At 41.6% G+C, this 17,968-nt stretch overlaps 1 long non-coding RNA gene across 2 annotated transcripts in view; it reads right to left on the reverse strand.

Annotated features, from left to right (window-relative positions):
- LOC101928277 (uncharacterized) overlaps positions 1–17,968 on the reverse strand; it is a 205,476-nt gene that overhangs the window by 117,726 nt on the left and 69,782 nt on the right. For both annotated transcript variants that reach the window (XR_001744364.2, XR_001744363.2), the window contains one exon: positions 14,124–14,179. This is a non-coding gene — a long non-coding RNA (uncharacterized LOC101928277). The remainder of the gene's footprint in view (positions 1–14,123; positions 14,180–17,968) is intronic.

The following is a 17,968-nucleotide window of genomic DNA, read 5'->3' on the forward strand; positions in this document are numbered from 1 at the left end:
TCAAAAAAGACAAATAAGGGTATTATGTAATGGTAGAAGGGTCAACTCAACAAGAAGATCTAACTATCCTAAATATATATATACACCCAAATAGGAGCACCCAGATTCATAAAACAAGTTCTTAGAGACCTACAAAGAGACTTAGACTCTCACAAAATAATAATAGGAGACTTTAACACCACACTGTCAATATTAGACAGATCATCAAGACAGAAAATTAACAAAAATATTCAGGACTTGAACTCTGGATCAAGTGGACCTGATAGATATCTACAGAAGTCTCCACCCAAAAAACAACAGTATGTACATTCTTCTCAGCACCACATGGCATTTACTCTAAAATTGATCACATAATTGGAAGTAAAATACTTCTCAGCAAATGCAAAAGAACTGAAATCATGTCAGTCTCAGACCACAGCACAATCTAATTAGAACTCAAGATAAGGAAAACCACACAACTACATGGAAATTGACCAACCTAACCCTGAATGACTCCTGGGTAAATAATGAAATTAAGGCAGAAATTAAGTTCTTTAAAACTAATGAGAACAAAGAGACAGCATACCAGAATCTCTGGGATGCAGCTAAAGCAGTAGTAAGAGGGAAATTTATAGTACTAAATGCCCACATCAAAAAGCTAGAAAGATCTCAAGTTAACAACCTAACATCTCAACTAAAAGAACTAGAGAACCAAGAGAAAACAAATCCAAAACTAGCAGAAGAAATAACCAAGACCAGAACAGGAAATGAAGGAGCTAGAGACCAAAAAAACCCTTCAAAAAATTATCGAATCCAGGAACTGTTTATTTGAAAAAATTAATAAAATAGATAGACCACTAACTAGACTAATAAAGAAGAAAAGAGAGCAGAATAGACACAATAAGAAATGATTAAGGGAATATCACCACTGACCCCACAGAAATACAAACAACCATCAGAGAATACTATAAACACCTCTACACAAGTAAACTAGAAAATCTAGAAGAAATGGATAAATTCCTGGACACATAAATCCCCCAAGACTAAACCAGGAAGAAGTTGAATTCCTGAATAGACCAATAATGAGTTCTGAAATTGAAGCAGTAATAAATAGCCTAACAACCAAAAAAGCAGCCCGGGACCAGGTGGATGTACAGCTGAATTCTACCAGAGGCACAAATAGGAGTTTGTACCATTTCTTATTAAACAATTCCAAACAATTGAAAAGGAGGGCCTCCTCTCTAACTCATTTTATGAGGCCAGCATCATCCTGATACCAAAACATGGAAGAGATACAACAAAAAAAGAAAACTTCAGGCCAATATCCCTGATGAACATCAAAGCGAAAATCCTCAATAAAATTCCGGCCAAACAAATCCAGCAGCACATCAAAAAGCTTATCCACCACAATCAAGCCAGCTTCATCCCCAGGATGCAAGGCTTGTTCAACCTATGCAAATCAATAAATGTAAGTCATCACATAAACAGAACTAGAGACAAAACCACATGATTATCTCAATAGATGCAGAAAAGGTCTTCAATAAAATTCAACATCCCTTCATGTTAAAAACTCTCAATAAACTAGATATTGAGGGAACATATCTCAAAATAATAGCAATTTATGACAAATTGACAGCCAATACCATACTGAATGGGCAAAAGCTGGAAGCATTCCATTTGAAAACCAGCACAAGACAAGGATGCCCTCCCTCACCACTCCTATTTAACATAGTATCAGAAAGTTCTGGCTAGAGCAATCAAGAAGAGCAAGAAATAAAGCATATTCAAATAGGAAGAGAGGAAAGCAAATTGTCTTTGTTTGCAGATGACATGATCCTATATCTAGAAAACCCCATCATCTCAGCCCAAAAGCTTCTTAAGCTGATAAGCAACTTCGGCAAAGTCTCAGGATACAAAATCAGTGTGCAAAAATCACAAGCATTTCTATACACCAACAGCAGACAAGTAGAGAGCCAAATCACGAATGAACTCCCATTCACGATTGCTACAAAGAGAATAAAATACCTAGGAATACAGCTAACAAGGGAAGTGAAGGACTTCTTCAAGGAGAACTACAAACCACTGCTCCAAGGAAATAAGAGAGGACACAAACAAATGCAAAAACATTCCAAGCTGATGGATAGGAAGGATCAATATCATGAAAATGGCCATACTGCCCAAAGTAATTTATAGATTCAATGCTATTCCCCTTAAACTACCATTGACATTCTTCACAGAATTAGAAAAAACTATTTTAAAATTTATATGGAAACAAAAAAGAGCCCATATAGCCAAGACAATCCTAAGCAAAAAGAACAAAGCTGGAGGTATCATGCTACCCAATTTCAGACTATACTACAAGGCTACAGTAACCAAAACAGCAGGACACTGGTACAAAAACAGAAACATAGACCAAAGGAACAGAATAGAGAACTCAGAAATAAGTCTGAGCATCTACAACTATCTGATCTTTGACAAATCTGACAGAAACAAGCAATGGGGAAAGCATTCCCTATTTAATAAATGGTCCTGGGAGAACTGGCTAGCCATATGCAGAAAATGGAAACTGGATCCCTTTGTTACACCATATACAAAAATTAACTCAAGATGGATTAAAGACTCAAATGTAAAACCCAAAACTATAAAAGCCCTAGAAGAAAATCTAGGCAATACCATTCAGGACATAGGCACAGGCAAAGATTTCATGACGAAAATGTCAAAAGCAATTGCATCAAAAGCAAAAAATTGAGAAATCGGATCTAATTAAACCAAAGAGCTTCTGCACAGCAAAAGAAACTATTATCAGAGTGAACGGACAACCTATAGAATGGGAGAAAACTTTTGCAATCTATCCATCTGACAAAAGTCTAATATCCAGAATCTACAAGAAACTTAAACAAATTTAAGAAAAAACAAACAATCCTATTTAAAAAAAAATGGGCAAAGGGCATGAATAGACATTTCTCAAAAGACGACATTTATGGCCAGGTGTGGTAGCTCATGCCTGTAATCCCAGCACTTTGGGAGGCCAAGGAGGGTGGATCATGAGGTCAAGAGATCAAGACCATCCTGGCCAACATGGTGAAACCCCGTCTCTACTAAAAATACAAAAATTAGCTGGCCATGATGGCAGGCACCTGTAGTCCCAGCTACCTGGGAGGCTGAGGCAGGAGAATCACTTGAACCTGGGAGACAGAGGTTGCAGTGAGCCAAGATCGTGCCACTGCACTCCAGCCTAGTAACAGGGTGAGATTCTGCCTCAAAAAATTAATTAATTAATTAATTAAAGTTTCTGCTCTTGATTTTTTAGGTCTTTTTCAGTAGGATGATTATACAGGGCTGATGGGTCACTGGCTGTAGATAGCATTTTCTTATAAGTTCTCAGGCCTGGCCAGCTACGTAATCTGTGGGGCCCAGTGCAAAATGAAAATATAGGGCCCCATGTTTATCAAGCAGGGGGAAAAAGTGCCTTCAAGACTAGTAAAATATAACACTTTCTCCTTTCTTCTGTAGTGTCTCTTCAACCTGTCATTGTGTTTTTTGCTATTTGAGGCAACAGGCCCTGGGAATGGAGTGGGGGAGGGGCTCCAAGATACTCAAGGTTGAGTAGGGACTTCCGCAGGCAAAAGAGAGGCTGCCCTGGAATTTGGCACATTCAAGGGTGTCACTTAACCCAATATACTTTCAGTTGCTTTTACGTTGTAAAACCTAGAACTCGGCTGGGCGCGGTGGCTCACACCTGTAATCCCCACACTTTGGGAAGCTGAGGCAGGTGGATCGCGAGGTCAAGAGACTGAGACCATCCTGGCCATCATGGTGAAACCTCGTCTCTACTAAAAATACAAAATTAGCTGGGCGTGGTGGTACATGCCTGTAATCCCAGCTACTCAGGAGGCTGAGGCAGAAGAATTGCTTGAACCCAGGAGGCGGAGGTTGCAGTGAGCCAAGATCGCGCCACTGCACTCTAGCCTGGTGACAGAGCAGGACTCTGTCTCAAAAAAAAAAAAAAGAAAAAAGAAACTGGAACTCTACCAAAGATACAAAACAATGAAAATAAGTCTGACCTTATTTTCAACAAAACATACTTTTTGAATTTGGTTGCCGGTAGAAATAGGAATGTGAAATAATCCTAAAACTTCCCAAGATTTTATACTACACAAGTTAGGTCTTTTTGCTTCCCCTTTAGAGATAAATTGCCTCTTTCAAACATGAATCCCTTTACTTCCAAGAGAATGAGGAATGGCTCTGAGAATCTCAGCAGTTTGGCTCTGAGACAATGAGCTGACTCTTTAAACAGTGGGAGGTGTCAAGAGAAGCCAACTTCAAGGAAATCCAACTTTTTCCTCCCAGCCTCCTCCTCCTGACATACTGATCCAAAAACACATAGGACCTGACCATTTGTAAGAAATGGTGTCACTAGAAAGTCAAATACTACATGTTCTCACTCATAAGTAGGTCTAAAAAATGTACACATGTGGATAAAGACAGTAGATTGATAGACAATGGAGGCATCAAAGTGAGAGGGAATGGGAGGGGGTGGGAAGAGGTTGGGTGATGAGAAATTACTTAATGGGTACAATGTACATTATTCAGGGGAAGGATTTTTTTTTTTTTTTTTTTTAGATGAAGTCTCTCTCTGTCACCCAAGCGGGAGTGCAGTGGCACAATCTCGGCTCACTGCAACCTCTGCCTCCCGGGTTCAAGTGATTCTCCTGCCTCAGCTTCCTGGGACTACGGGTGTGTGCCACCACGCCTGGCTAATTTTTGTATTTTTAGTAGAGAAGGGGTTTCACTATGTTGGCCAGGCTGGTCTCGAACTCCTGACCTCGTGATCCACCCACCTCGGCCTCCCAAAGTGCTGGAATTATAGGCGTGAACCACTGTGCCCGGCCTAATATCTTAAAGCCCTGACTTGACCACTACACAATCTATGCATGTAACAAAATTGCACATGTACCCCATAAATATATACAATTATTAAAAAAAAAAGAAATGGTGTCAGAAAATGGGACTTAGGAGAATGATTGGAAACTCCTTTTCTTACTTACTTATTGATTGATAATCTTTCTTAAATCACAAAGGTTCTGAGGTGACATTAAAAGTAATATATACACAAAAGAGTACAATAAAAATGAACACCAAGAAAGATATAAATCAGACTATATTGTTAGAATCAGAGGCAGAAAAAATAGGACTCCATAAGCCAAAAGGCCCAGAGAGATAACAAAGGTTGGTTTGCAAATTGTCTGAGTTCCCTGTGACCCAAAGTAAAAATGGAAATATTGTCAATGTCATTGTTTCCCCACATTGTTCATCAGAAGAAAAGCCCTGGTTTCCCAAACAAAGCAAAATATTTTCAGTATTTATCCATCTGATGCTGAGGATTATGATGGATGACTCCCCCCTAATATTAGTTGGGGAGGGCTCTTAATTGGCTATTTCTTGTGGCTTCTTTCAATAATAGGCAAAAGCACTACTACAAATAAAAAATAGAAATAAATAACTGGAGGCGGTGGCTCACACCTGTAATCCTAATACTTTGGGAGGCTGAGGCAGGCTGATTGCTTGAGCCCAGGAGTTCAAGACCAGTCTGGGCAACATGGTAAAACCCCATCTCTACCCCAAAAAAAATACAAAACTTAGCTGGGCATGGTGGCACCTGCCTATAGTCCCAGCTACTCAGGAGACTGAGGCAGGAGGATCACTTGGGAGGCAGAGGTTGCAGTGAGCTGAGACTGTGCCAATGCACTCCAACCTGGGCAACAGAGACAGACCCTGCCTCAAAAAAAAATAAAATAAAATAAAATAAAACAGAAACAATATATCTATATTTCTGTCAATTCAATTCATTCCTCTGAATCAATTTCATATTTGGTGATGAGTATAGGTATGTGTATTTCCAAAGCTGGGAACTGGCTTGGGAAGGGAGTAGTAGATGGACCCAGAATTCTAGAACCCAGGACTTGCTGGTAAGCATGTACAAACTCTTTGAGGAGAAAAGGCCTACTGTTGACAGCTTATCTAACACTTTGTCAAACTGCAACAGAAAGAAAATTCATAGCCATGGTCTGTGACTAAAGAAACCAGATCCCATTTTAAGGCCAAATCCTTATAACCTGTTCTTACTTATATGATTAGAAACCACCTTCGCCTTTCATCTTTTACAAAGCAAGTCATTCCTTTCTTTATATACAGACTAGAGATTGGATAACGTGAAAGATGACAGACATTGTCAAACTTGTCCTAGTCACTAGAGTGACTGATGGCCTCCTGAGAATGTCCAGACCTTCTGGCTTAGTGTAAATGTCTCGGGCTATAAATAAAACGTCAGCCTGGCCAGCGTAAATCTACTAAGGCCAAGAAGTTATTAAAACAGAACCATGAGACGTTACTCAATGAGCCCAGTCTGACACGTGTGGCTATGACTTAAGTCCTCATTTGAGTGCTAAACTAATGCCCCTTACAGACAGAAATATCTGTAAAGACTCTGTCACTGGAATAAATTACAAAATTCCTTTACTGCGTTAATACTTTGAAGACCTTTGAAATCAAGTTATTCGGATGAGTGCATGAAGTCCCAAAAGGGGATGGTAAACAGTGAAGATGTAGCAGGCATGGGGGTCTTACATCAGGAGAAAGAGAAAATAAAGTTTTAACAGTCCAAATAGGAAAACTGACATGGGGTAACAATTAATTATAAATATAGACATAACAAATTTAAATTTCTAAAATTCTATGAGAATATGATCATAAAGGAAGCAATAGATTTTAGCCTTCAAATTAACTTTCTGGTATTTGTTTTAGGTATGAAAAATTCCAGATGGCCACTTGAATTTATAGTAAAGTTACTGTATAAACTCTGGCACTTAAGCAAAATATTTCATCAATTATATATACTTAGAATGTATCATTTTGCAGGGCCAGGTGTGGTGGCTCACACCTGTAATCCCAGCACTTTGGGAGGCTGAGGCAAGTGGATCACTTGAGGTCAGGAGTTCGAGACCAGCCTGGCCAACATGGGGAAACCTGTCTCTACTAAGACTACAAAAATTAGCTGGGTGTGGTGGCAGGCACCTATAATCCCAGCTACTTGGGAGGCTAGGGTAGGAGAATTGCATGAACCCAGGAGGCAGAGGTTGCAGTGAGCCAAGATCATGCCACTGCACTCCAGCCTGGGACACAGAAGAAGACTCCATCTCAAAAAATAAAGTATCATTTTGCCATAAATTTGGAAATCTAATTTCATGAGAATTTATTGAAGACATTTTTTAAAATCCCACTGAAGTGTCAAAATATGTTTTTATAGTCACTTCAGTGTTAATTATATATTTTTATTTTGGCTGTGACACTAATTATCTTAATTAAATTTTTATCACTAGTGCTTATTTCAATGCATTAAATATTATACTTAATGAATGGAAAGTAGTTTAATATCATCTGAAATTCTGTGGAGCCTTTGTAAAGCTAATTTTTCTGCAAGGATGGATCTTAAAAATGCCTCAACCTGATAGATTTGTAGCCAAAGTAATGTCAGTTTAACTTGAACACTCAGCGACCCAAGAAGAGGAATACTTCTTTATTCCAGTAGCAGCTTTATTAGCCAAAAGAATATTGCCCTGAGTGTAATAAAATTCTTACTGTCCAATCAGGTCTTCAGCAATTCAGTTCATCCTCATTCCTCTTTCCAACTTTGCAGCAAAAAGAGTAACCATTAGATGTAGGTCTCCTCAGAGCCCAGCCTTTTCCATTCAGGGCTGGCATTGCTGAAACATCAGCACCTGTTTCTGCAGCGAAGTAAATAAGTGGATAGCACCTCCCTTCATAGCTCATTCTCCCATTTGTAATCACAGACTTGTGTGATTATTTAATCAATGCCTGTCTCATCCAACAGGACATATGTGACAAAAGGGTGAACACAGGGTCCAGGGTAAACACAGGGTCCAGCTTGCACACCGCTGTGCCTTGTACTGTGTCAGGCCCTTACCCACATAATAAATATTTGTTGACTGAAGAAATGAAAATTTAACTTGGGGAATACAATAACAAGCTTCATGATGCCTACCTCACCCTTAATCCAAATGGTGGAAACAGAGAGATTTGAACCTAATTCTCATTTATATTTTAAACTCTTTTAGTTATATTCTTTATCATACATTGGTTAGAATATTTTATTTAGAAAGGTGTGTTTTGATTTCATAAGCAATTAGTGCATTTACCACTAATTGGTAAACAATGAATATGAACAAACCTTTGTATGATGCTAAGGAATGCAGAATGCTGTCATTCCTTAGTCCATAACACTAAGAAATGACAACAAGGCAGTTGTCTAGGATGCAAAGCCCAACCTATAGGAGCTACAGGACTTTATGGGACATTAGGCCTCTCAATGAAATCATATCCAACATATCCCAGTACATGGGACAATTGCATTTTTGTTTTGGGATTGTGCCCACCCTGGTCTATGGCATGGACTTTTCCCTCTGATCTTTTTTCTCTTCTTAAATCTTCTCTCTCCTCATTATCTATCTCCTTACAGCCAGAACTGTGGAGAGCTGCAGGATCACGTGGGATATTCCTTTAGAAGACATCCATCGTATTTTCCTGCTTTCCTGTCTTCATCTCTACACAGGGAACCTTGACATTTTTCCCCTTTGGATTGTTTTTCAAGTATAAATAAATCAGAATCCCCTTGAACTGAAGACACCTCTTCAACATTTTAAGTAATGTATTTTTGAAAAAGATGCAGTGATCAAAGGCATAAGAACATTTTTCTCAACACAGGAGGATAAACAATGCAGCTAGGTCGTCAGACAAGCAATGTTCATTTAACCCTTCCCAATGCAAAGGAGAAGGGCCGTCCACAGGGGTGACAGCAAGGCAGAGTCACTTCCTGCTAGGCTGGCCCACATTTTCCCACTCAGTACTCTCTGACCAAGCTTCAGGTCACCTCTGGCACCCAGTTCTTATGCTGAGCACACCATGTTCTGCCCACTCTGCCCTGCACCTGTCATATGAAGAATTCCAGGGTCTCCGATCACCTTCCCCTTTCCCTTCGTCCCCATCCTTTCTCTCTGTATGCAGACCTGGGTTATCCAGCATGCTCATTTATGGTGAAGATGAGTGAAATGAGCTAGAGGTGTTGGTCACTGAAAGTATTTGCATTGGAAACCAGATGTAATGCCTTAAGCACAGAGAGGCAAGCCTCTAAAGGAGACATCTCAACGAGTACAGGGTAGGGAATTGTACTGAGTCAGTGAAGGTGAGAGAATAACAATGAATATTGGGATGGGGGTGGCCACAGTCCTTGGAATACACAAATAAATATAAGAAAATCAGTTAACTTGGCAGTACATGTAAAACTGGTGAGACAACAACCAAAAACAGAGATAGAAACAAGTATATGGGAAACATGAGTGAAGAAAGCTAAGGAAAGCTGTTTCCTTTATGCTTTTATATCAGGGAGTGAAGGGGCACATTGCCAAATGAAGCCACTTTGCTTATACGCAGTCAACAACTGAGTACCCGCCACCCAACCCTCAGCCACTGCTCACTTAAATCCAGGTCACTGAAACCTGAAAGTTGCTTCTCAACTTCTACCATTTCTTAACACGTACATCTTAGTGTAGGTGGTGTTTATTAATTGCAGCAACAGGGAAACTCCTCCATTTCCCATCCTCTGAGGGCATTTTGACTTATCTACATTTTTCCCTTTACCTTTCCTCACTGAATTTTCCCAGCAATCCACAGTGAAAGGTAGGGATTACCTTACTAGCCTGAGAATTACTTGAATTTTCATCTCTCAGTGATAGTTAGCCATGAAGTTAATCATTACTATTAAAGAAGATCAGTATAACTTTAGAATTGACAATAGATCTGACTCTGAACTCTTCCAACCCAGCCAAGTTTTGCAGCCATGGGAACCAGGTGACAAGAATGGGCAGGCCCAGGTGAGGCCAAGCAGTATGGTAAAAATAAGCACCACTCTTATTCCAGCACAGGTCCCATTTGGTTTTAAGGCCAAATGGTGGTAGAGCAATGTTTTTCACTTCCCTCTGATCACAACTCTCCTATTTTACCTCTTCCTAGTCCCACCCCTTTTATTCAGAAGAAAACAGCTGTGATGAACCATCACATATCATCTTATTTTCAATATTTCCACTTGTCAAACATGTATGAGGAGTGCCAGGTCAGTATCCCTTGTGCCAAATATTTTCACCTCCCCTCTGCATGGTGTCTCCCCGACAATCCAACATGGTGTCTCCCCCAGCCCCTGCCCTGCTCCTCTCTTCTCCTCTCCCATCACTGTGACAGACTTATCCAGGTTCTTATCTCCAAACAACCAGCTCCTTCTTGGTTCCTAAGACAGGCACTCTCAGAGGAGCACATCAAATGGTCAGGTTTTTGTTTGTTTGTTTGTTTTGAGATGGAGTTTGACTCTTTTCTCCCAGGCTGGAGTGCAATGGTGCAATCTCGGCTCATTGCAACCTCTGCCTCCTGGGTTCAAATAATTCTCCTGCCTCAGCCTCCCAAGTAGCCGGGATTACAGGCACCCGCCACCATGCTCAGCTAATTTTTGTATTTTTAGTAGAGATGGGGTTTCACCACATTGGCCAGGCTGGTCTCGAACTCCTGACCTCAGGTGGTCCGCCCGCCTCGGCCTCCCAAAATGCTGGGATTACAGGCATGAGCCACCGTGCCCAGCCCAAATGGTCAGTTTTTAAGAAAGTTTCAGAAAACCTCCAAAACCAAGCTGTTTGATGTAAACAGGAAGGAATTTTATACAGACAGGAGCTTATAGAGACACAGAAACCAGAAAGTTCTAGCTTTAGGTATTGATTTGGTCAGAAGAGAAATCCAGCTGTGTGAGCAAGTGACTACTAGAGTATTAATCATCTGCCTAGAGTTGTAACCTGTTAAAGAGAGAGCAAGGATAGGAGAGGGATCACCACCATAGGCCACATGTTTGTTAGGTTATTTCACATGCGTCCATTCAACTCCATTCTACAAATAGCAAGAGCCAACAATGCCAGGAATCGCAAACAAGACATACCTGTTTCCTGTCTTCACACAGTTTAATGAGCAAGAGACTTAATATAAGATAGCCCGAAAGGAACTATGACAGGAGAAAGTCAAGTTGGGGCCCTTAGGAGGAGAGATCCTCATCCAGATAGTTAGAAAGAGCTTCTGGAAGAAGTGACATCTCAGCTGGGGAAGACAGGCTAGGGAGGGGTTATCCAAGCAAAACCAGGGATTGAGAGGGAGGGGGAAGTTGACTTTTGACCACAACCATGTGAAGTATGTGTGACCAGGTCTACTTTCCCAGTGAGGTAACCTAGACTCATAGGGGTTGAAAAAGTTATCCAAGGCTACAAATCTAGCCTGTGGTAGATGCAGGCTCAGTCCTCAGGACAGCCGAAGCCCATGGCCGGGCTGACTCTTTGCACCACTACCTCAGCTCTCTGGCTGCACCTCCCCACTTCACCTGCTCTAGGCTCCCAGAGAAGCCTCTGTCAGGATGGAAATGTCTGGCCAGAAAGGAGGGCAGGATAATGCTGTCATCAGAGCCATGGGGATTTTATTACTAAGCCACAAGGTCCCCAACAAGGGTGCCCTTAGAATTCACCAAAGAGTTTTTGTACAGTCTCTTTCTTCTCAGAAGTTCTAGAGTCTAAGCAGCACACAATAAGTAAACTTGTTTATGAAAAAGTACAAGCAAATGATCTCTAAAGGCAAAAGCTTTATTTAGAACAGATATGTCCTGAATAGCTTTAAAGCAAAGATGTCTATTGGAAATGCTCTAACATCTCCTTTCTCTCTCTTTTTTTTTTTTTTTTTTTGAGACAGTCTTACTCTGGAGTACAGTGGTGCAATCGCAGCTCACTGCAAGCTCTGCCTCTCAGGTTCACACCATTCTCCTGCCTCAGCCTCCCGAGTAGCTGGGACTACAGGCCTCCGCCACCACGCCAGGCTAACTTTTTGTATTTTTAGTAGAGACGGAGCTCATGCCTGTAATCCCAGCACTTCTGGGAAGCCGAGGCGGGTGGATCACGAGTTCAGGAGATCAATACATCTCCTTTCTCTTAAAGTGAGGCACGGCACCCCTGGATGACTGTGAGTTGGTTTTTCATATCACAGCAAATCTCAGATCAGAGACAGTCAGAGACAATTGGAGAAGAAAGACCTTGATAAACAGTTGCCTTTCTTTGTGGCCCCTTTCACAGGCTTGAGATACTCGGAGGAAAATTTAAGTGACTGACATAAATGTCCATCACTGGGTATATTTATTTAAAACCTGAATGGCAAAATGCAAACATTGTAGATATTAATGAAGGAATAAAACAAACAGTTGACTTTTTTCTTTACTCAATGATATGAAGCTTATTCAGGGGCCTGCTTGCCAGATTTGAGGCCAATCTCTTGTAGGTTCCATGTAGGTCCTTCCAGGCAATGAAAATGTCCTTTTTGCAGGAATAAAGGTGAGATGCAGATGTATAGAGGTTCTCTCTTGGAGGCCTGTGTACTGTACAGGTAACAAAAAGTAACACAGCTGGGCCAGGTGCAGTGGCTAATGCCTGTAACCCCAACACTTTGGGAGGCCAAGGCAGGAGGATGACTTGAGCCCAGGAGTTTGAGACCAGCCTGGGTAACAAAGTGAGACCCCATTTCTACAAGACAATTAAAAAAAATTAGCCAGGCATGGTGGTGCATGCCTGTAGTCCCAGCTACTCGGGAAGCTAAGGCAGGAGAATCCCTTGAGGCCAGGAGGTTGAGGCTGCAGTGAGCTGGGTTCGTGCCATTGCACTCCAGCCTGGGCAACAGAGCAACACTCAGTCTCAAAAAAATAAATAAATAGGCCAAACACAGTGGCTCACGCCTGTAATCCCAGCATTTTGGGAAGCCAATGCGGGCAGATCACCTGAGGTCAGGAGTTCGGGACCAGCATGACCAGCATGGTGAAACCCCGTCTCTACTAAAAATACAAAATTAGCTGGGTATGGCGGCGCATGCCTGTGATCCCAGCTAATCAGGAGGCTGAGGCAGGAGAATCGCTTGAACCCAGGAGGCAGAGGTTGCAGTGAGCCAAAATCATGCCATTGCACTCCAGCCTGGGCGACAGAGCGAGACAAACAAACAAACAAATAAATAAATGTAATACAGCCAATGCTTTCATTTTCATTCAGAGCCCTAAATGTAAACGTCCAGCCCTGCCAACCTAGGCAAGGCAATGAAACCTCGGAAGGCGGTGGCTTTAAAGGCATTAATTTAGTGGATGCACAGACCAGGAGCTCACATACCTGCCAACTGGCATGGATATTTCAGAAAGCCAAGAAGAAGTCTCATTTTGGTGAGGCATTTTTCTCAGCTTTCCTCCCCTTATTTCCACAGCAAAGCTCAAAAAGCCTTCTGCTGGGGGAGGTGTTGGGGGGAAGCATTTCTGGCTATGATCCTTTTGGCCTTTAGCAGGTTGAGAAGCCAAACCTGGCTCCAAACAAACCCCAACTGCCCGCTCTCTCTTTTTCTAATGCCAGAGACATTCCCCTGCCCAATGTTCCAACTCCCCTGAATGTGAAAAAAAAAAAATCATTATTTAGTTCTGTCATTCCACCTAGATTTTCCATATCTCTGTTCTCAAAGGTATCTGATCTGAATCCATCTCCAGATATCAGTTGTCTTTCTCTTGTATCCCTACCCCTGCCCCGACCCCCACTACCGATAACCAGGGTAAAGTCTGAGGCGCATTTGGAGATAAGTCAATGAGCTAAGAACCAGGCCTGTTATTTATTAAATTTACAGGGCTTGCGTTTATATGATCACATTCTGGAGCTGGCATCTGGCCTAAAAAGCTTCCCATTTCTGCCTCTGCCCTCTCCCTCCTCCAGCCCTTTACACGCTCACACACCAGAGCCCTTGACCGAAAAACAGAACACTGGGTATCATTTTAGTTCTCATATTTTAACTTGCTCTCATTTTCAACAAGGCAGATATAGTGACTGGAAATAAGTTAAGATGCAAAGTTAGGAGCAGAATTCGCACATAATAACCACCTACTTTGCTCTCGTTGCTTCTCCTTGCCTAGAGTGGTAGACAGAAGCACCCATTCTGAATCCATGTTGTACAAGTTCATACCCCAAATTTGCACTTACTGTTAGCATTGAGATCTTGACCTTTTTCCCTGGTCTCTGCACCTCTACTTCCTCATCTGTAAAATAGGAAAGCAATAGTACCAGTCTCAGAGGGTTGTTACAAGGATTAAAAGACTTCACATGGGCTGGGCACAGTGGCTCACGCCTGTAATCCCAACACTTTGGGAGGGCGAGGCAAGTGGATCACTTGAGGCCAGGAGTTTGAGGCCAGCCTGGCCAACATGATGAAACCCCATCTCAACTAAAAATACAAAAATTAGCTGGACATGGTAGCGTGCACCTGTAATCCCAGCTACTTGGGAGGCTGGGGCAGGAGAGTCGCTTGAACCCAGGAGGTGGAGGGTGCAGCGAGCTGAGATCATGCCACTGCACTCCAGCCTGGGCGACAGAGCGAGACTCCATCTCAAAAATAAAAATAAGTTGCTACTTCCCCCTCCCCCTGCCAAAAAAAACCAGAACTTAAATAATTCTTGATTTGTCTTTGATACAGCTCTCAAGTTTTCTTTTAGTTTAATGTTGCATTGGAGGCATGAGAAGTATTTTGAGGTTTATGCTCTAGAAAAGCTATGCATGGCTGAAAGACATTTACAAAGTAAATATAAAGTCAAATGGATCCTCCCATTGTGAACACGAAGAGATTAGAAATCAGGCAGATTCTCCTGGGAATTTCTTTGTGAAAAGATGAATCGTCCAGCCAGGGCATGAGCCCTGGTAACCTATAAATAAATCTCTTTCTTCAAATCACATTGATGGAAGTCAGCCTTTTATGCTGTGGTTTTTCATAGAAATAATTGATGTTATTATATCTCTAGGAATCCTTCATCCTAAGAAGCAGCAGCTTCATCTGTAATGTACTCCCACATTTACATTCTATCCCTGTCTAAATGGTACCAAATGTCCACTAACAGGACAACGATCAGTGTAAATGCCATCTGCACGTACATGAAAAGTACTGTGCGTGCTAGACAGTGAGTACCCAGTTATTGGTTGAATGAATTAGTTCAACAGTGAAGCAATTAACTGTTGCAGCAGAAAACATATTTTGCTTGGGAATAATAAGAGATGATTTTCCAGACAACACTTAATCTAAGAGTTATTATGTCCACACATAAAGCCAAGAAGTTAGAGAAAGTCTCTCTCTCTCACCAGCCACAGTGCAATTTCACAGACATTCACAGGCATTTTACAGCAGACATCTGAGCAAAAGGCACCCAAGGTACCAATATACCTTGCAGAAGAGTTGCATTTGCAGCATTCCCAGTATTTGCTCACTCCAAGTAGTAGGACAACCATGGTCTTGTTTAATCAGTAATTCCATTTTTTCTGAAATCAAGAAAATTGAGCCCTGATGTTGCTAACTAAGCAAGTGAGTATCTAAAAGCAACATTCTGGGACCTGTTTCTAGACATTATTTTCTTTCTTCTCCAACCTATGCTATCAATCTGTGGGTAAGTGCAAGGGTCTCAGTTTCCCCATTTTCCATGTCTGAGCCTGACCTTAAAAGCTCTCTGCTTCTGCTATTCTGGCCTCTAGCCAGGTCAACAGTTCAGCTCACACTAATTTTGTTTCTCTATGATGGGCTCAGGCTCCCTCATGCTCTCTTCTTTTTTTCTTCTCTGAGAAGCATTGACTTTGGCTGCATCTCATCTAAAGACAGAGGTCAGGCCACCTGGTCAATCAAGGAGCCCCACCCTTGACCCCAGTGGATCAAGCTCTTCAGTGATCAACCTTCTCTCCTTTGTTGGTAATACTCCAAACATTCTGGTTGAAATGCACAGATACCATACGACGATCTCAACATTTGTGTCATATAGAGTGTTACCTTCTGGCTTGACAATTCCAATCTTCGATGATGTCAGTAACTAATCCACACCTTCTCCAGATTCTAAATCCTGATAACCCGCTAGACTCTACCATAATAACTCTTAGATTAAGTGTTGGCTAGAAACACATCAAGATGTGCTACTTATCTTGGCCCCATGGGTTTAGAGAGGAAAATATTGTTTCACTTCAGAGTCTTCTTACAAAGATCGTCTACCTGAAAACAACAGGTTCCCTTCTCTTTGGTTTTACTTATTTACTTATGCATTTCCTTTATAAAACTTATCCCTTAGTTGTTTTCTGCCAGTGGGAATGAAAGGCCATCACAGACTGTCTATAGATGGAGAAAAACCTGACTACACATTTAATATTCATCAACATAGTGCTGCCATACCACCTTTTTTTTTTTTTTTTTTTTTTTTGAGACAGAGTCTCACTCTGTCACCCAGGCTGGAGTGCAATGGCGTGATCTTGGCTCACTGCAAGCTCTGCTTCCCAGGTTCACACCATTCTCCTGCCTCAGGCTCCTGAGTAGCTGGGACTACAGGTGCCTGCCACCACGCCTGGCTAATTTTTCATATTTTTAATAGAGACAGGGTTTTACCGTGTTAGCCAGGATGGTCTCAATCTCCTAACCTCATGATCCGCCCGCCTCAGCCTCCCAAAGGGTTGGGATTACAGGTGTGGGCCACTGCACCCGGCCACGTCTCTTATTAATGATAACACATAAGATGGAGCAATAACTTCTGAAATACACACTAGAACCATTCAAAAAAAAATGGAAGTTTCTACAGTATTTGAGGTTGTCCTGCCAAGTTATAATTAATTCATGATCAATAATAAAATAGTCCATATAGTGATAGGCTTGCTGTTTGCTTATGCAAGAATGTGAAATACCTCGAGAGGCAGGAAAATCTTCTGAAGAGAAGTTTTGGAATCAAAACAGGTGCTAACATCTGCCTTTAATGTGCATAGAAGGAAACTGAAATAAAACAGATTCTCTTAGAATTTCAGATTGGGCATCCTAAAGTGTGCCTGAACTGATTTGGAAAGAGAATAATAGATTCAGGAATTAAAAAGTTGATGGCTCTGTCAAGACCCAACCAATTGCAAAATAAACTTTGCATTTCTCTTGTTTTCCACTATTTTCTTTCCAACTTTGAAAAGTCTTGGTACACCAGTGGCATTGTTGGAGGGTAAGTAACATGAACATTCTAAGGAGGAAAAGACCAAAGCCCAGCCATTCATTAATAGTGACTTGTTAAAAGCTAGATGCTGGCTGGGCACAGTGGCTCATGCCTGTAATCCCAGCACTTTGGGAGGCCGAGGTGGGCGGATCACCAGGTCAGGAGATCGAGACCATCCTGCCTAACACAGTGAAACCCCGTCTCTACTAAAAATACAAAAAAAAAAAAAAAATTAGCTGGGCATGGTGGAACACGCCTGTAGTCCCAGCTACTCAGGAGGCTGAGGCAGGAGAATCACTTGAACCTGGGAAGCAGAGGTTGCAGTGAGCCGAGATCATGTCACTGCACTCCAGCCTGGGCAACAAAGCGAGACTCTGTCTCAAAAAAAAAAAAAAAAAAAAGCTAGATGCTTACTTAAACCATTCCACGGGTATGCTATGGGGACCGCCGCTGGACCCTGCTCAAAGTTTAATGCTTAACCACATGATGGTCCAGTGCTTTCAGTTCTGACCTGCCCTGCAGCATGTACCCAAGCCTCTTATAAGTTAATGGGTCATTCATCACACTGGATTTTTCTTAGCTCACTCACCTCTTTAGAATTCAGGATTTCCTGCCAACATTTTCACTTTTCCATAAAATTAATATAGCACTATTAGGACCGGGTGTACTCTGAAAATATCCAGCATTCAAAATTCCTCATTTAAACTTTTCAATCCAAGATTTTATCCTTTTGGATTAGTACATTGTGGGTAGTTCTATTAGTCAATTTTAACTGTTTCCCACTACGTGACTCAAAATAAATCAAAGTGTTAGATGAGTCAGGGAAAAAATGATCTT

The sequence above is a fragment of the Homo sapiens genome, chromosome 6 (assembly GCF_000001405.40).
Source record: "Homo sapiens chromosome 6, GRCh38.p14 Primary Assembly".
NCBI classification, from domain to species: Eukaryota; Metazoa; Chordata; class Mammalia; order Primates; family Hominidae; genus Homo; species Homo sapiens.